This window comes from Homo sapiens, chromosome 9 (assembly GCF_000001405.40).
Source record: "Homo sapiens chromosome 9, GRCh38.p14 Primary Assembly".
Taxonomy (NCBI): domain Eukaryota; kingdom Metazoa; phylum Chordata; class Mammalia; order Primates; family Hominidae; genus Homo; species Homo sapiens.
In genome coordinates this window covers 126,326,490-126,345,093 of record NC_000009.12, presented here as the reverse complement: position 1 = coordinate 126,345,093, position 18,604 = coordinate 126,326,490, and the positions used below count along the sequence as shown (strand labels likewise).

General features: G+C 49.7%; 1 protein-coding gene across 7 annotated transcripts in view, besides 5 other annotated features; it reads right to left on the bottom strand.

Annotated features, from left to right (window-relative positions):
• The window catches only part of MVB12B (multivesicular body subunit 12B), a 180,212-nt gene extending 161,947 nt beyond the window's left edge, over positions 1-18,265 (bottom strand). For 5 of the 7 annotated variants that reach the window (NM_033446.3, XM_017015275.3, XM_017015277.3 and 2 more), the window contains exons 1-2: positions 18,084-18,265; positions 4,464-4,586 (exon numbers count right to left, since the gene is read on the bottom strand). In NM_033446.3, the coding sequence (NP_258257.1) occupies positions 4,464-4,586; positions 18,084-18,164 (204 nt within the window). In that variant the 5' untranslated portion in view covers positions 18,165-18,265. Of the gene's footprint in view, positions 1-4,463; positions 4,587-9,686; positions 9,889-18,083 lie in introns of those variants that run through there. The other 2 variants (XM_005252297.1, XM_017015276.2) reach the window with 1 other exon arrangement.
• Positions 8,525-9,024: an enhancer, noted in NCBI's record as "H3K4me1 hESC enhancer chr9:129098349-129098848 (GRCh37/hg19 assembly coordinates)". NCBI's record gives its function as "activates a minimal SCP1, AML or CMV promoter by ChIP-STARR-seq in naive H9 embryonic stem cells {active_cell/tissue: H9 hESC(naive)}" and the evidence as "EXISTENCE:reporter gene assay evidence [ECO:0000049][PMID:30033119]".
• Positions 9,025-9,526: an enhancer, noted in NCBI's record as "H3K4me1 hESC enhancer chr9:129097847-129098348 (GRCh37/hg19 assembly coordinates)". NCBI's record gives its function as "activates a minimal SCP1, AML or CMV promoter by ChIP-STARR-seq in naive H9 embryonic stem cells {active_cell/tissue: H9 hESC(naive)}" and the evidence as "EXISTENCE:reporter gene assay evidence [ECO:0000049][PMID:30033119]".
• Positions 9,830-10,124: a silencer, noted in NCBI's record as "tiled region #7128; K562 Repressive non-DNase unmatched - State 22:ReprW". NCBI's record gives its function as "represses a minimal TATA promoter and a strong SV40 promoter by Sharpr-MPRA in K562 cells {active_cell/tissue: K562}" and the evidence as "EXISTENCE:reporter gene assay evidence [ECO:0000049][PMID:27701403]".
• Positions 17,048-17,699: an enhancer, noted in NCBI's record as "H3K27ac-H3K4me1 hESC enhancer chr9:129089674-129090325 (GRCh37/hg19 assembly coordinates)". NCBI's record gives its function as "activates a minimal SCP1, AML or CMV promoter by ChIP-STARR-seq in primed H9 embryonic stem cells {active_cell/tissue: H9 hESC(primed)}" and the evidence as "EXISTENCE:reporter gene assay evidence [ECO:0000049][PMID:30033119]".
• Positions 18,141-18,280: a silencer, noted in NCBI's record as "silent region_20286". NCBI's record gives its function as "represses an Ori minimal core promoter by ATAC-STARR-seq in GM12878 lymphoblastoid cells {active_cell/tissue: GM12878}" and the evidence as "EXISTENCE:reporter gene assay evidence [ECO:0000049][PMID:35858748]".

The window sequence follows — 18,604 nt, the reverse complement described above, 5'->3', positions numbered from 1 at the left end:
CAAAGTCCCAGAAAGGTCTCACTAAAAGTAAGTTTGGTCTCAGCTGCTCTATGGGAAGCCATATGCTATGCTTTCAATGTGCCCCCAATGTTCATGTGCTAGAAACCTTATCCCCAGTGCAACAGTGTTGAGAGATGGGACCTGTGAGAAGTGATTAGGTTCTGAGGGTTCTGTCCTCATGAATAGATTAACAGTCTTATCCCAGGAGTGGGTTCCCAATTAAAGGATGTGTGTGGCCCCCTCCTGCTCACTCTCCCTCTCTTGCCCCTCCGACTTCCGCCATGGGATGATGCAGCAATGAGGCCCTTGCCAGATGCAGGCCCTTCACCTTAGACTTCCCAGCCTCCAGACCTGTAAGAAATAAATCCTGCTCTTTATAAACTACTCAGTCTTAGGGATAGCGTCATGGCAGCACAAAAGGACTAAGACACCATGGAGGGTCACAGAGGAGGGGGAGACGCAGGGAGAGCGGTGTCCAACCCCTACACAGGCCAGAAAGGCCAGAGCAGCAGCTGCCAGGTGAGCAGGGAGCTGAACCCAGCCATGGGACAACCTCGCAGATGTCACCAACAAAAAAGGCGCCATGTGGTAGCAGGGGAGAAAGCTGGCGCTGAAGAACTGTGAGCACCTTTGAGGCAGTCTCCTGCGAAAGGCTCCAACACCTAGCAGGCTTCCAGGTATGGAAGGAAGGGAATGATCAGTGATTTTTCGAAGCAGGATGCAAGGGGTTCATGCTGTCAGAATTATCTGGAAAGCTAGATCTGAAAGATAAATCATCTATAAGGACTTCCCTTCAAAGCACTTACCCCCAATTTCATCTTTTATTTATTTGCAACCATCATTGCCTGTCTTCCCCTCCAGACTGTGTGCTTCATGAAGGCAGGAGCTGTGTGTGTTTTGCTCATCGCTGTCTCCCCAGCTCCTAGCTGGCACATAGTAGGTACTCAAAAAATGGGGTGGATAGATAAACAATTTAAAATTAAAAAGTTCTGGAGTGTTTGATTCGTCTCACTTTCTCTGTGTTGCTATTTTTTTTTTTTTTTTTTACCAAGAAAAGTATATTTTCAAGGAAAAGAAGACATGTCCTTTATGGAAAAAGAGTCATCTCATAAATATAGTGTTGCAGCTTCAGTCTCTGAGTTGTAGGCATTTATTTATTAATTAATTTATTTATTTAGAGACAGAGTCTCACTCTGTTGCCCAGGCTGGAGCGCAGTGGCGCAGTCTCGGCTCACTGCAACCTCTGCCTTCTGGGTTCAATCGATTGTCCTGCCTCAGTCTCACGAGTAGCTGGGATTACAGGCACGCACCACCACGCCCAGCTAATGTTTTGTATTTTTAGTAGAGATGGGGTTTCACCATGTTGGCCAGGCTGGTCTTGAACTCCTGACCTCAAGTGATCTGCCCACTTCGGCCTCCCAAAGTGCAGGGATTACAGGAATGAGCCACCATGCTTGGCCATAAGCATTTATTTAGAAAGGCAAAGGAATGTGGGTGAAAGGTAAAATGTGTATTGCTGGAAACACACCCAACAATGATTCTCAGTAATGTCCAGCTTGATGCCCTTTAGACACTGCAACATCCCAGAGTGGCTTGTAAATCAAAGGTTACATTCTGCACACAGGCACTGTAGCCGGAAGTGCTTCTTATAGCATTACAATTCTTCGAAAACTGACCATCCACCCAGGATAAAACAGCATGCACTACCTTTGGCAAACACTAGTCATCTATGACATATAGTCACTACTCCGGGCACGTGGCATCACAAAGATGCACGAGACTCACCCCAACTCTGACTGCAAGGGGAGAGAAGCACCAGTCACTCCCAGATAGTGTGGGTGCAGAACAGAAAAGCGAGGCTCTTTCAGAGAGGACCGCAGACGTCGGAACAATAAATTGAGAAGTTTAGCAAATAATCCCCAGCCCCCTAGCCTAAGAAGGCTCCCCTGACCCAGAGAGAAGGGAAGTTATTGAATTAAATTTTTATAAATGAACATTTGGCACCTTTTACCTCAAGCAGCAATGGGACCTAAGCTCATTTTAAAGCAGTTGTGCTACTCAGGGCCACCAGTCCATCTGGTGCCTAACTCGCAGGGCTGCGTGGTGGCAGTACTTAACGGGCTCTGTGCGCAGGGAGAAATTAATCCTACAGCAGCTACAACAGACAGAGAGAGGTCTCGGCCCAATCCGCAGCAGGGCTTCCTCATCTGCTGGAGTTCTGTCTAAGCATCTCTGCAGCCTAGCCACCACAGAGCGCCTTGCACTTTGGTTTGGATATTGACTTAATATGAAACTCCAGATAAAAGGAATGAGAAGTCTCTCTTCTCACCATGCCCTCCCCGCCTTCCTTGAACTTGGGGCCAGACCTCTGGGGAACGAGACGCTTATCTGCACACAGTCCAGAGGCCAGTACCAAGAGGGGACTCCCACCTCTCTCCCTGTTAGGGCTTTCAGAGGGAGCCCAGGCAGTCTCCACCTCGGCCGTGCAGAGCTGGGTAATTACCGGGCGGATGAGCTCAAGCCCCTTGCCCTGCTAACCTCCCACTAAAATGCATGGCACAGCACAATCATGAAATGTGCTTATTAATTTTACTCATTTGACACTGCGCTCTTCTGCCCTGAGCTAGATGTTAGGAGAAAATGATAGGGATAGATTCTGCTCCTGTCAGACTTACCAAGACTTCCAGAAAACCAAACTATCAAAGGCCATCTGCCACCCACTACCCAGGCAAGCAGGATGACCCTAAAGGTACAAACGGAATGCTAAAGATACAGATCAACAAAAGAGGGCATGGGAAGATGGGGAGACCCCTGCCTTGGGCTCAAGCTCCCTGAGAGCCCTCCTAGGAGAGCGACCCCTGAGCCCGTCCTCTCCCACAGCGGGAACTCCCAGTCCCTGCCTTGATTCATGACTTGCTGCTTCATCCCTAATTCATCAAAAGACACTTTGGCTTCTCAAATCAGGAACATTTTTATTAGCTTCCCCCAGAGTTTCGTGGCACAAAGCCATACCTAATGATTCTATTTTATGGAAAGTTATACATTCAAACCACACTTTGAAGTCAAGCAGCAGCTAAGACTGAAATGTTTGTCAGAAAAGTTTCCTTCACTTTTTCACTTTTAAAATGTTTATGAGCTTTCAAACAGTTGGAGAAGGGATGTGTAGCATTTGAACAGGCTCCTCCTTCCTTACCCAGGACCCAGCACTGGCTGACTCAGTACAGATCTGCCTTGACCATTGCAGTTCTCAATGGGGGGTGATTCTGCCCAGCCACCCCCTGCTCCTGGAGACATCTGGCTACGTCTGGAGACATTTTGGGTTGTCACCACTGGGGGAGGAGGGACAGGTGCTACTGGTATTCACTAAGGAGAGGCCAGGAATGCTGCTAAACATCATACGATGCACAGGAAAACATATAGCAAAGAATTATTGGATTGTCTTGCCCTAAATGTCAACAGTGCTGAAGTTGGGAAACCCTGCCTTAGGGCTTCTTCTGCTGGACCAGGCATCACATTCTCCTCACTGCAGGACATCAGAGACTATTCTAATTGCTGTGGGAGGTTTTCAGTGTTGGCTAATGAGATTCGTGTTCTTTCACTCTTATGCATTCTTGGTGCACATTTTCAGTGAATAAGAACAAAACGTCACAAACAAAGTGAGGAAAGTAAACATAAGACCACCTTAGAATCTCAGAACACATGATAATATCCACTGTTAATTAAACCCTCCTAACGTTCCTCTGTACTTTGCAAGCTCCACCCGAATCAGAATTTACCTACTGAAACAACAACATAACCAGTTCCAATCATCAGGACTACTGAACACCAGCACAGATGTCTGCTGAAAAGCAAGGAAAGTTCTCCACTAAACTGTGGTGGTGTGGTCAGCCACAGCACTGGACTTGGAGGGGGTCTGGTCCTGATGATTCACCATATCCAAGGACTGGGACTCTGTTACTTGACTTCTCAGAGCGTGGGTTCTCCTAATCAGCAAAGAGGTGATACAGCTACTTGCCCTCCCAGCCTTCCAAAAGCCCAAGAGAGCTAAATGAGTTCATGGGTAGGAAACATTTTAAACTGTAAAGAGCTACACAGACGTAGGACAATGCCTTTACAATATTTACACATGCATGACAATATATGAAAACCACCAGGAGTCGTTCATAGACTCTGGATCCTTTTCACGAAATGTCACAACCAGAAGTTGAAAATCAATGAATCTAACTCCTTAATTTTACAGAAGGTGAAAATGACCATCACAGAGGTGGTCAAGGCCAGGAAACGGCCCAGATGGGCTCAGGTCTTCTGACTCCCAAACCAGGATGCTCTCCACGCCCTCCCTGGATTAAGTTCCTAGAGGGAAGAAGCACATCTTACACGCAAGGGCCAGAAGGTCTTGGACACAGGAGATAAATACTTGTAGAATCAGTGAGCAAAATGTACAAACTAGTATCTTGACTTACTACGTCATAGCCTGTCGGGGCTCGGTTCCGAGAAGCCACCACCCCGACTCCCGTGATGGGATCCATTGACGTTTCTGGCAAGGCTTCTGAGAGGTCTTTGACTTCAGGCATGGTGGACTGGTCCTGGTTCAGCAAAGGAAAAAGAAAACACAAAATTCAAACATAGCATTTATGTGAATAATATAAAGTCTCAAACAGAACCAGAATCTTGGGGCAAATACCCTGAGTTTCACATACCTGTACTGGTTGAATGAGTCCTGACCCTATGTGACCCTTTCCCCAGGTCAAGAATTCAAATCACCTCTGTTTCCCACTCTTCTCAGGTTAGCTTTGAACACTGAGCTAAGATGAGAGCTTGTCTCTACTCTCAGGAGGTGAGCTTGACTCAAACCCAAGAGCACGTCATTCTTAACTCCGCCATCCAGCTGCTTGATTTCTGAACAGATACCAGTAGCTGCTCTGAAGACATGTCAGACACGGCTAAGCTTAACAACACCTTTCCTCTCTCTCCCTTGCAATCTCTCCTACGGAGGCCTAGACTTCCAAACCCACAGCCAAGGTTAGGCCTTCAGCACGCAGAGCTTTGCAAAGAAGCAAGGAATGTTGCAAACACAGAAATAAGTGTTCTGGGCTCAGGTGAAGGAATGGTGTTGGAGTCCAGGCTCCATGACTGACTAGCTGGTGACTTTGAGTAAGCAATTTAACCTCCTGGACCCTTCATTTTCTCAGCTATAAAAGGAGGTCATGATACTGACCCTTGCAGAGCTGCTGTGAGGACCAAGAGAGTCAAAGACAGTGGATGTAAATGAAAGGCCTGGAGAGGTCCCTGGTATACAGTAGGCGCTCAAAAAAAGCACATAAAACTGGTGGGGTTTGGGACACACAAGTCCAGGTAACTGGTCAGAAATGTGATAGGCGTCACTCCATAGGGGACTGGCAGATCCCTTTGTTGTGTTTTACCCTCGGGTCATGTGGGCACTTACTCAAAGCCAAATACTAACAATGATCATAATTCTTGCTGGGCACTTTGAGAGAAAGGGAGGGAAAATGGAATTATTATTCTGCTGCTGACTGCCTCTTGATGTGACCAGAGGAGAAAGGTAGAATATAGAGAGCACTGGGTCTGGGCAGCTGGAGTGGCAGTGCACCAGAAAGCAAATAAAAGAGGCAACACCATATGTAAATGAACCTAAGTACTTTTAAAAGGACAAGCAGTGAAAAAGAGCAAGTCAAATTCCACCTCCTTCTGCAACAATTAAACTCCACTGGCTGCAGGTCTGCCAGATCTCTCAAGGCTGGTTACTGCTTCTAATACAAACCAAACACCCTACCTCACTAAGCAGGCAGGAGGAATATTCTTGCTTCTAGCCTAGAATCAGAAAAGGCAGAGGCCATTAAAAATGACTGCAGCCTTCTAAATAGGAACAATCAAAATGCTGTATGCAAGTCTCCCATGAAGTCAGTGGAACCCACAAAAAGCTCCGGAAACAGACTTGTCAATGCAATGGAGCTGAGTCCTCGATCAAGGCTAGGAAGTGCCTGGCACAGCTGCAGTCTCCTCTTCTGTTTACAACAAAGCTTAACAAAGTTATGCTTTACCTAATTCTTCTGAAAATAAGCTTCTAAACGGCCAGGGCAGGGGGTACCACACTGCATCACTGCATCATTTTCTGTTTTCAAGTTTCATTTACCAGGCAGGTTTATCTGCATAAAACACAGGGCTTAGTGCTTCCTGCACACAGTAGGCACTAAGTAAATATTTGAGTGAATATTTACTTAGTGCATGTCCCCAGTAAAGGTTTAGAATTAAATATCTGCACCTGCAGATCCAGAGCAGGCATTGATCAAAAGGGCTCAGCACTTGAAAAATCCCGTAGTATTGGTAACATGAAAATAACATTGCTGCAGTTTGCAAAATATTGGTACCTGCTGTTGGTTACCAAGAATGCTTTGCAATTAACAACTCATTAACAGAATGTACGAATTCTGCCAGTGCTAAAATATCACGCTGTGAATTTAATAAAGAACATGTGAGGTAAGTTTTTTTTTTTTTTTAAGATAGTATGGCCTCTACTATCAGAGAGAGAGAAAAGAAAGTGACAAAGAAAAAGGAGGAGAGAGAGAAGTGGGGGTAAGCATGAATAAGCAGTATCTTATTTGCTGGTGGATTCATTGCCACATCCCCTGGTCACAGTATCCTCCCCGGTACGATGATGACAATGGCCCTCTGCCTGGAGTCCGCTCTCAACAGCAGGAGGGTCACCATGCCCTGGAAGAAGCCATGCTGCTCCCACAATGCCCTGTGGCGGCCCAGGAGAAGGTTCAAAGATGGCTGCGGGCGGCCCCCGGCTGAGGCAGACAAAGGAGCCGGGCCTGGCCTGCCAGAGGGCCCTGCAGAGCTGCGCGCAGAGCATCTCCAACGCCAGCCGTTCTCCCTCCTTCCCCCCAGCTGCTGTGCCCCGGACGGAGGCGGCCTTTGTGAAATATGGACAAATGGCTCCGGGCCGCGCGGGCTGCAGTCGACCCATCCAGGAAGCGCCATCACCAGCCAAGGCAGCTTTTAATGAGAAACGCCCAAGATATCCATGGCAGGGGCCATCACTCAAAGCCGCTTGCCCTGAATTACATATTTTCTGACTGCAAATTACTTTTAACTGCGTCTCTACCGGCACTTCAATTGACCTTCCTAACAAAAGGCCATTTATTAACTAGCGCTCCACATTTCCCAGGCCGCGCGGAGCCTCAAGCCAGGAAGGATGGCCCCGCGGCTAAGGACTCGAGGAGGCCATTCATGCGGGCCCTCTCACATCAAATCCGGAGGCCTACTGGCAACAACCCCAGGTTGTATCAACAGCTCCTCATCCAGCATCCATCTGTATCTCAAAGCCCAAACTGCCCGCAAAACACACTAACAGGTCTGTTGCATTTGGACAGCGCTTTGCAGCTCTCCAGAAGCTTTCTCAGGCTCCTTCCCAGTTGAGGCTCACATCAAACCTGGGAGGTGGCCGGGTCACCTTCCAGGAATGGGACGGCTGGTCTTCCTCCCTAGGTCTGGTCTGTTTTCTATTGTACTAGGCAGAGAGGCACCAATATCCCATCCAATTGAGAAAGCAGTTTCAACACTAATTATATTTTAAAATGCCAAAGCTTTTCTTTCTCTAGCCACAGCTCAATAAGTCAAGCAAGGGGGAAAAAGTACAGAAGGATAAAAGTAACACGGGATTAATTTTCCTCACACCTCAGTTTCAAGATTCAACATTCCCCTCATAAATAATTTACAACAATAAAAATGAGCTAAGGCCATGTTTGTGTAGGATGGAGGTAAATTTAGGCCTAATGAGGGAGATCCAAGCACCGCACAGGAGGGAATAGGTTGATCTATGGCACGGTGCGAGCAGGATCGACAGCTCAGAGGGGCTCCATTACCAACTGGAAGTTGCAGGGCCAATCAGGAGGAGGGGGAAGCAAAATGGGGAAACTTGTGCCATCCCAGCTGTGGCTGCGAGGAAGTTCTCTATAGGGAACCCCCAAAGCTGACCCAGTGTTTTGGATGACAAGACAAATGTTGAAATTTTTCAGAACTATAGGATTGGGCCAATCTAAGTCTATTCTCAATACATGCTGGGTAAGGAATAAAGGTGGTAGGATGCCAGGGACTCAGACTGGACCTTGAGCAGGTCCTCTTACTTTCACCTCGCAGGTCATCAGGTCCAGATGGTTCCATTCTGACCTCTCCCCTAAGCGGGCATACAGCCTCTGTGAGATAATTTCCAAGGCTGGGGGCTGCAGAGCCTCAGTTCAGGCAGTGTTGTCTGCCCCGAGAGGCTCCCTCGGCAAGGCAGGATAGTAGTGTGTGTGTGTGTGTGTGTGTGTGTGCGTGCACACACAAACATGTATGTGCGCCCACAAGTGTACGGAATGGGAAAGCTGGGGAGGGTTAAGGTGAAGTGTTTTCCAAGCTAGAAGGATTTTTTCCACCATGCCATGCTCAAAGAGCACCATGCAAACCACACAACAAAGCCAGGAGCAAGCCTGCTTCCAGCTTCTGCCTGCAGTGCTGCAGATAGCGCTTGGGGAGGCCCCAGCTCCCGGTACTGCAGCACCTAGCCAAGGTTGTCATCCCGGGTTCACGGAGAAATGAACTTTAACTATAAAGACCCTTCATACAGACGGCACACTGCTCCCTTGTAGCTGATCAAAGAATTACTACAACAGTGTGTTTAATCCCTGAAAGTCAGCAGTGCTGGGCTTAACTGATGCTGAACATTGTTTCGGAATCAAAGGTGTGCCTCCCGGCCCCAGTCTGGGAGAAAACAGAGCTACTGTATCACAGTTGAAAACTCAGGGGAACTTTGATATCATCTCTGTTTAATTTCCATGGCCCTCCTGAGCCTGGGGTTTATCTCGTTTTATCAACTCCTGTACTGAAATCAAAACCCAACTAACAAAGCTCAGACCTCTCTCCACCAAGGCTCTTCCAGCAGCGGGGTGTGGGCCGAGGAGTTTAAAGTGCTTTCAGGGAGCAACAACTGCAGGGGGCAGGGGGCGCTGCCTTCAAAGCAGGTGCCCTGGGCAGTGGGCCCACGTTCCAGCCTCCCACCATCTCGGCCTCCTGCCATGGTGAGGCCAGCTCAGAAGCGGCGCCAGCCAGCGCTGCTGCTCAGGGCTGAAGGCATGACTGGCATACAACTTTTGAGGAGAGTAATTTCAAAGTATTAACGGGGGGCAGGCTAAATTGGGCTACTGTAATTGAAATGACAAAACCAGTGGCTTAATTACATCCCTACAGAAGGGCAAACTTGTGATCAGCTTGCTTGAAATCCAAAGTCAAGGGCACCAAAGACAAAAAACTGCCTGCTCACATATACCAGCTTACAGGGCTGAGGAAGGAAGAAGAATAAACATTTCATTCGCCGTAGGAAACGCCACAAGAGCAGGTAGCTGCTGGAAATGGGTTGTCCCCCAGTAAAAGCTGCTGCTCCGGCCTTCATAGAAAGGGTCTTTGCCTGTTTCCCATTGGCAGCGATGGTCTGTAGGAATACATGCCCACCTCTGGTGCCCCGGGATTACTGACACCTTTCTGCTGGCAAATCGCAAGCAAGGGACAGAAGGACAGGCAAGGGACTGCCTGTCCCCAAGGAGGGAACCTGTGGCCAGGCCTCACCAATGCACACCACACACACAAACCCAGCCACCTCCTTACAGAAAGTTGCAGAGACCTACCTCCTCAGAAGGCTGAGAGCTGAGGCCAGTGTCCATGCTGTGCCCAGTTAAATGGGCAGCTGGCTTTGGGGCCACCCGTGGGGGACAGTGCACAGACTGAGAGGCTGTCACTGTGGAGCCTCAGGATAGCATCCTGACACCTTCTGAACTTTGGACAGATTACCTGGTGACCAGCCAGAGTCAAATCACTCTGACAAATGCTGCTGGACATAGTCAGGTGGCAACAAGTCACTAGCTGCTAGGAGGGCTGCTAAGTTGTTGGGCAACTAAGGCAAATATTTTTCTAAGCTCTCCTAGATCGCAAAGAATTTTCCAGCTCGGGAACTAACAATTGTGAGCACTTCCTTTCCCCCCCAACAGAAGAATCCAGTGTATGCACGTGTGTATTCAATCTGCCTTATGCTTAAATTTCTATTAACCATTTGATTACCAAACAGATTTTGCATAAACCCCATGAGGCAGGACTAGGGTTCAGATTGCTGCAGCCCTTATGGTGCAATGGTAGGTTCCAGGATTCACTTTCCAAAAATAAATTCAGGATCAAGTTCTACAGCACAGCCCTGGCCAAAGCCCTGCCCCATACAGGCCTGACTCTGCACAAACCAGGGAACATTACTCGAGGGTAGGGCATTCTCCAGTACACTGTGGGTACCACCTGCTTGCCCATGATTACTGCAAATGAGGGTAGTCCATGTCCACTCCCATCAGGTTTTGCTGGGTGGTGCCATATTGTCCCCTGTAGAGAAGGAGAAAAAAAGGACCCCAACAGAAGGCAGATGCCTACAAATGAAACCATCCTGGAGGCCCCAAAAGCAATGGTTCCTGAGTGTTTGGTGACAGGAGTCACAGCTTGCCCTGATGGGCACGGTGCTCATACAGTAAAGATACTAATATAATTTCAGTGCCAGGCAAATGGGGGCCCCTGCCAGAATCATCAGAACACCTGTCTTCAGGCCAGCCAGGCCACCACACCCCTCTCTGACTTTCACATGGGTCTTGAGAATTTTTTTTCATATATTTGGTCATCTAATCATTCTACCCATATGCTAATGACTTCCAAAATACCTCAAACCCAGGCTTTTCTCCTGAGACTCAGAGGTATCTGTCTCGCGTCTTTGCCCACATGGCTCAGGAATACCTCAAATTCAGCTGACCTTGCCATCTTCCCCCTGAAGCATCCTCCTACATTCCCGGTCTCTAAGAGGGCCTGGCGCGTGAACAGTGAGTCCACAGATGACTACGGAGCCACTTGGGCTAAGCACTGAGGCTACAGTAATGAGACGGAAAGTCCACATTCTGGAGTGGGAGTTATCCAACTTTAGCATGTGCAAAAATCACCAGAAGAGGTCGTTAAAACGGACATTCCTGAACCCCACCCCCTGAGATACTGATGCAGTAGGCCTGAGCTGGTCTAAGAACATGCATTTGTAACAGCTCCCAGCTGACACTAAAACAGCTGGTCTACAGTCCAAAATTTAAGTACAAGAGAGCAGGTATTCATCAGGTATTTGATGAACGAATGGATGGATGGATGGATGGATGGATGGATGGATGGATGGATGGAATGAACCTAAAGGTAATCTTCCATGGAGAAAAGCCTCAGAATCAGCCCTCCAGTCTCCCCCTCCTTCCTCTTGACAGTTCACCCAAGGGCACCAGGTTCCTCCCCTGCAGATACCCACCCCACCATTTAAAACCAGGGTCACACACGGGCATGGTGGCTCACGCCTGTAATCCCAGCACTCTGAGGCCAAGGTGGGCAGATCACTTGAGGTCAGGAGTTTGAGACCAGCCTGGCCAACATGGCAAAACCGCATCTCTACTAAAAATACAAAAATTAGCTGGGTGTGGTGGTGGTGCCTGTAATCCCAGCTACTCGAGAGGGTGAGGCACAAGAATCGCTTAAACCCAGGAGGTGGAGGTTGCAGTGAGCTGAGATGGTGCCACTGCACTCCAGGCTGGGTGACAGAGCCAGACCTCATCTCAAAAAAATAAATAAGTAAATAAATAAAACCAGGGTCATGGCCAGGCGCAGTGGCTCACGCCTGTAATCCCAGCACCTTGGGAGTCCGAGGCGGACAGATCACAAGGTCAGGAGTTCGAGACCAGCCTGGCCCATATGGTGAAATCCTGTCTTTACTAAAAATACAAAAATTAGCCAGGCATGGTGGCACGCACCTGTAGTCCCACCTACTCGGGAGGCTGAGGCAGAAGAATCACTTGAACCTGGGTGGCGGAGGTTGCAGTGAGCCAAGATTGCACCACTGCACTCTAGCCTGGGTGACAGAGTGAGAGTCTGTCTCAAAAAAAAACAAAACAAAACACCAGGGTCACATCTTCCATTCCCCTCAAACTTTCTCCAATTTCCCAGTCAGACAGGTGCCACCACTCAGAATCCTGACATCATGCAAGCACGTAGTCTTAGCACACGTATGTGCACACATGCACTCGTGCACACATACACATACACACACAGCCTTTCCTCTCAGAAGGCTAGAACATGCTTTCCCTAGCAGACCGTAAGTTACTCAAAGGTGTGTTATGTCCACCACAATGCCCAGCTTATGGTGGGTGCTCAATAAATGGATTATGAATGAATGGGGGAAGGATAAACAAACAAAATTCCTATCCTCTCAAAATTGCCAAGTTTCACTGGATTAAGGAGGGCACATAAAGGGGAGAGGGCACATAAAGGGGTGGGGCCACATAAAGGGGCAGGGGCACATAAAGGGGCGGGGGAACAGCAGAGCTGTCAGACCCCTTCCAGTGAAAGCCCGGGGTCTGGGGTCACTGATTCCTCCATACAGGACACACACCATGACCCCAGGGGTGAGCCACTTACAGAGGACGGGGGAAGGGACTGCAGCACTTCCAGGGAGTTCCAGATTTAGATCTAACTCAGTGCAGCCAGGCTGGATGTGGGCCTGTCAGGGGCCAGTGGGTGCCCAGGCTGGCTGCAGGAAGAATGCCCCGGAGAGCTTGTAGAAGCACAGCTTTCCCATTCCCTATCCTCAGGTTCTCATTTAATTGGTTCAGGCTGGGACTGAGACTGGAGAGTGCACAGCCAAGGAGAAGCTCCACAGTGCTGGGTGATAGAGCAATGAATAAGACATGGAACTCACAGGCTGTGGGAAATATCCCAAGAGAAAGGGACTGCAAAGGAGGGGACTCTTCCTTCTGCCTGGTGACGCAGGGAAAGGTGAGCAAAGAACTGGCCTCCCTGAAAGACGGGGGTGTGTGAAGTGGTGAAAGTCTTGCAAGCAGATGACACAGCCTCAACAAAGGCACCGTGGTGTGAACACACAGGGACTGCTCGGGGAACTGCAAGGAGCAGATGGGCTCTGAAACAAGCTTATAAAATGCTTAAGAAAACAAATAAACAAAACACAATCAAACTGAACTAAAAAACCTGTCTGCACTTCTCTGCTGTTTCTGAGATCTAAGCAATGATGTTGAGCTACAGGAAGGGGCACCCCAGTGGTCTAATGGAAGAGATTCCCAGGCCTTCCGTTCATACTTCCCCACCTGCAACTGAACATTTCTCCAACCAACGCCCCTTCCTTCAGACCCCCATGGGGCCTCCTTATGCTATTAGCTCTAAGGGGGGAAAGTCAGGCAGAGCAGAGGAATGGGATGGGTGCCCCCTTTGGAGTCCAAGGGACCCGAGCTTGAATTCCAGCTCTGACACTTACTGTACAACCTTAGGCAAGTTAAACTAAACTGGGCCTGAGTTTCCATCCCTATAAAACCGGAATAGCAAATAATATTGTTTCTACAGGGTTATAATGTGTAGAAAGCATCAAGAATTTGCAGCAAAAGGCAATCAACAGAGTAAAAAGGCAACCTATGGAATGGGAGGAAATATTTGCAAATCATGTATCTGATGAGGAGTTAATATGTGGATCTATAAAAAACTCCTACAAATCAACAACAAAAAAACAAATTCCTTAATTTAAAAATGGGCAAAGGACTTGAATAACAAGTCTTTCCAAAGACAATATACGAATAGCCAACCAGCACCCAAAAAGATGCTCAACATCACTTGCCACTAGGGAAATGCAAATCCAAATGACATCTCACCTTATACTCATTACGATGGCTACTACCAAAAACAAACAAACATACAAACAAAATAACTGTTCGCAAGCATGTGAAGAGATTGGAAACTCTGGCACACTGCTGGTGGGAATGTAAAATGGCACAGCCACTATGTTATGGAAAACAGTGTGGTGGTTCCGCAGAAAATTATAAATAGAATTACCATATGATCCAGCAATTCCACTTCTGGGTATCTACACAAAAGAATTTAAATCGGGGTCTCAAAGAGAATTGTAGACCCATGTTCAGAGCAACATTATTCACAATAGCCAAAAGACAGAAGCAACCCAAGCATCCATCTATGGATGAATGAACAAAATATGGTCCACATATTCAATGGAGTATTATTCAGCCTTAAAAAGGAAGGAAATTCTGAAATATGCTACAACATGATGAACCTTGAGGACAGTATGCTAAACTAAACAAGCCAGTCACAAAAAGACAAATACTGTATGATCCACTAGGATCACACAGTTTGACTACCTAGGGTAGTCAAACTCACAGAAACACAAAGCAGAATGGTGGTTGCCAGGGGTCAGGAAAGGGGGAAATGCAAAGTTGTTTTATGAGCACAGCGTTTCGGTTTTGCAAGATGAAAAGTTCTGGAGCTTAGTTGCACCACAGTGTGAATGTGCATAATGCCACCGATCTGTGCACTTAAAGATGAGTAGGATGGTCAATTTTATGTTACGTGTATTTAACACTTTTTTAGAAAGCATCAAGAACTGTAGGTCTCTAATTTCAGTAAGAAGAAGTATAACCCAAGGTGTCTGTTAAGACTGCAGATTCCAGGTCCCGTTCCCCAGAGATTCTGACTCAATAAAGTCTGAGTATGAGGTCCTAGAATCTGCATTTTCATCAACACCACAGGCATATTTAGTGCATTACAAACTCATTTATTTCTCTCTTCTAAAGGATCAGGGGATATTCTTTTGAATATTCTGCTCTGCTGATTAGAATCTGTTTTTTTTAAGTGTGTGTGTATGTGTGTGTGTGTGTGTGTGTAAAGAAAGAAAGAACAAACTCATGTTGACTCCTGCCACAGGTCCAACAAGATGGCCCTCCAGTCCTAAGGGAAGTATGAGCCACAAAGCTACTATGTGCAACCCCTGGGCTCCAGGCCCACAGGGCTCTCACATTTCTGCCTGGACAAGCTCTGCATCTCGCCAGAAGCGTGTCAAGTAAACCAAATGCATGCCCACAGGATGTCCCCAACAAGGGAGGTAATGTCAAGCACACTCTGCAGTGGCTTTGCCTCCCAGGCAGCCGGAGACAGGAGACCTGACTCTGGCAAACCCACTGCAACTAGTGCAGACAGCGCAGGGAAGCCACGATTCCCTAGGGCAGCCCAGCAAGCAGAAGGCCAAGGAGAGCCGGGGTTGGGGGCGGGGTGGGTTGGGGAAATGCTGGCCAGGGTGGGCCTCGGTGAGAGCCAGAGCAGCCTGGGGAGAAGGAGTCTATTCAAGAAACCCAGGCCTCCCCTCCACAACCCAACCTGCAAAGGAGGCTCTGCAACACAGTGTGCTCAGCCTAACCACATCCAGCCATGTAGTCATTTGTTATCTTCATCATCATAATAGCACCTTCGACTTTTCCCATGCTTGACTCCAGCACCATCATTATTTTGCAGTGTGGCAAGGATGTCTCCCTTTGAGTATGGAGCACTTCCAGCAAACTCAGACAGAGGGGCCTATGCCATTTGGATTCTGATCCCCCCAGGAGAAGATCCTCCATGAAATGGATAGAGACTACACTTCTCCCTTACCCCTTCCAAGGCCCTGAGAGGGCATCCAGCAGTGTGCTCACATGGTGGCGTGGTTCTGTAACATGTACAAACACAGGATATTCTTGTATTCTTTTTCTTAATGCTCTCCCCGCAACAAACTGTATAAACATCGGACCTGAAAAAAACACCATGATCTGCTGCTGGATGCTGAATCGCACACTTAAATTTCATGAGGACCGCCACCTCCTGCAGTGCCAAGTGCAGTCACATACATTAGCTCCTTCAGCTCTTCTTGACTGATTAGCTTTATGGGGTAGGCTTTGTTCTTAAGACACTTTTACATTACAGAAATGGGGATTCAGAAAGGTTCTGTGACTCCCCTAGGGTCACCTGGGGTCCAGGAGGTAGCCTGAGAGTCAAACTCAAGCTCCTAAATCCAAGTCCAGTGTTCTTTCTACTATACCATCACTTCCTGGTTGTCCCGTTGAAGACTAAATAATAGGCCAGGCGTGGTGGCTCATGCCTGTAATCCCAGGAATTTGGGAGGCCAAGGTGGGAGGATTACTTAAGCTCTGGTGTTCAAGACCAGCTTGGGCAACATAGCAAGACCCCAACTCTACTAAAAATAATAATAATTTAAAAAAACAGCCGAGCGTGGTGGCAGGCACCTATACTTGGGAGGCTGAGGTGGGAGAATCGCTTGAGTCCAGGAGTTCAAGGCTGCAGTGAGCCATGATGGTACCACTGCACTCCAGCCTGAGTGACAGTGAGACCCTGTCTCAAAAACAAACAAAAACCAAAAAAAAAGCAGACAGAAAGAAACTCTAAAAATAAATAAATAAGCTACTCCTCTCATTCATCCGTTAACAAACCTCTCATAATGACCCCTACCGTTTACTGACTTCTTGCCATGTAGCAGGCACTGAGCTAGACTTTTCTTGCAAAATTTCATTTACATCACGCCATAATCCCATGAGATGAATACTATCATTAGTTTCACTCTACAGATGAGGAAACTGAAACTCAGAAAAGTTCAATAATTTGTCCAAGGGCACAAAGTAAGTAGGAAAGCCAAGACTTAAGCTGAGGGCTAATTCTAAACTCCCTGCACATAACCATGGCACAACATTCCAGTTGGAAGTGGTAAAAGGTCCCTAGCAGGATGGAGACAGGGCAAGAAAAATGCCTTGAACCTAAATTAGGAGTGTGACCTAAAGCCTAGAAGGAAGGAATGAAAAATATGGATTACAGAAGGTAAGTTTAGGTTTAAATGAACCAGTAATCGCCACGTCAACTGCTTCCCATGGGGCTTGGAGCCCGGGTCCCAAGCAGAAGCCTCATCTCTCTGAGGCCCTATTTAAAGATTCTGAGCATGGTACAGTATCTCCAAGGACCCCACATGATTTCTAACAAGCAAGAAAGGTGTCACCATCTACTGTAACTAAACATCCTAGCACATTGAGTTTTTCAGTTAGTCAAGGCTTCACAGAGCTTATTTTTTAACTCTCTAAGCTTTCCTGGTGCCGCTGATAAGATTTCCCAGCCCTGTTAAAACGAGATGAGATCCAGCCAGCTGTCGAGAAATGTACAATGAGATTATACTGAGAAGGAACCACGAGAGACAAAGGCCCCTAAGAGGAGCTGGTCTGCTGTCTGCTTTTGTGGCAGCAATCGGAGTGGGCTCTGGTTCTTGGGTGGGGGCAGGAAGCAGGGAAGGGGCAACCACCATTTGCCTTTTGCCCTCCTGTGGTCTTCCTCAGTGCCTTGTGCAAGAGGTGTTGAGGGGCAGGGAACAGAAGAGTCTCATCTTTCATGGTGAGAAGGGCTGCTGATTTAGAACAGTTGTGTGTTGGTAACAAAGAGGACAAAAGATGCTCTTGGGTCTACCCCGTTCCCTGGTGCCTGCCTCTGAGGATGTGATGTCCCCTGGTGCCATGCCTCAGCTCTTGTCCCAGCCCCTGCTCCTCCCGTCTCGCTGGTGTTGGAGTCACTGTAGGGTGCTCGACGTGCCCACCATGTTCCTGGATGGGTGCTCTGGGTCTCGGGTACCCAGGCTGGGCATGTCACCTTCCAGACAGGTGCCTGAGGGTTTAGGTGTCCTCTCTGCTGTGCCCAGGTCACAGAGGCAGTGATGCTCCTGGGGCAGGTGCACGTTGGTCTGCACCCACGTGACCAGAGAGAGCAGGACCCCAGGCCAGGCCGGTCAAACGATTGACTGTTCCCAGTCTGTGCCCAGGTGGGCCGCCTCCCTCTCACGCGGGCAGAGGTGGCTCTCGGCGCCCCTCACCTGCCCGGGCCTTGGGGGCGCTGCTGGCACTCGGGTCCCCCAGCTTCTCCCGCCTCTCGCCGCCAGGCCGAGCCCGGGCACCGGCAGCCGCGGCGCGCTCGGGGCTCTGCAAAGGCCGCCCGGGCCTGTCCCCGCCGCGGGCCGGGCACGGAGCCCGCAGGCCTCGGCGCGGCCCGGCTCCTCCCGTCCGCCCGCCCCTCGGCCGGGGGCCCGCGCCCGCCCGCCCGCCCTCCCGGCTGCAGGGCCGGCTCCGCCGAGCCTCCGCGGCGCCCGGGCCTCACTTAACTGTTCCCCGCTGGGGCGGCGGCGGCGGTGGCTGCGGCGGCGGCGGGTCCCGGCTCCGTCTCACGCAGAAGCAGCTTCTCATCGCCCGGGCGGCGCGGGAGGGGCCGGGCCCGGGGCCCAGGCGGCAGGAGCCGGCGCCGCAGCTCGAGCGCGAGCCTCACCGAGAGCGGCGGCGGCGGCGGCGGCGGCGGAGGGGCGGGGCGCGGCCTGGCGGCGGCGGCGACAACGGCAGTGGCGGCGGCGGCTCCCTCCGCGGGCCGCGGCGGCGGGCCGGGCTCCGGGCCTCCCGGCGCTGGCGCTGGTTCAGGATCGGGGGAGGCGCCCGGCGCCCGAGGCTGGCTCGGGCGGGAGGAGGGAGAGGGAGCCCTGGCGTCCCGAGCCCGCGCCGCCGCCCCGGCCGGCACCCCGCCTCCCCAGCCTCCCCCTCGACCCAGCCCGTCAGCCGCAGGCAGGGCCCCGGTGCGCCCACCCGGGCCTCCCCGAGCCCGCCGGCGACCCCAGTCCAGCCTCAGGCCCCCGGGA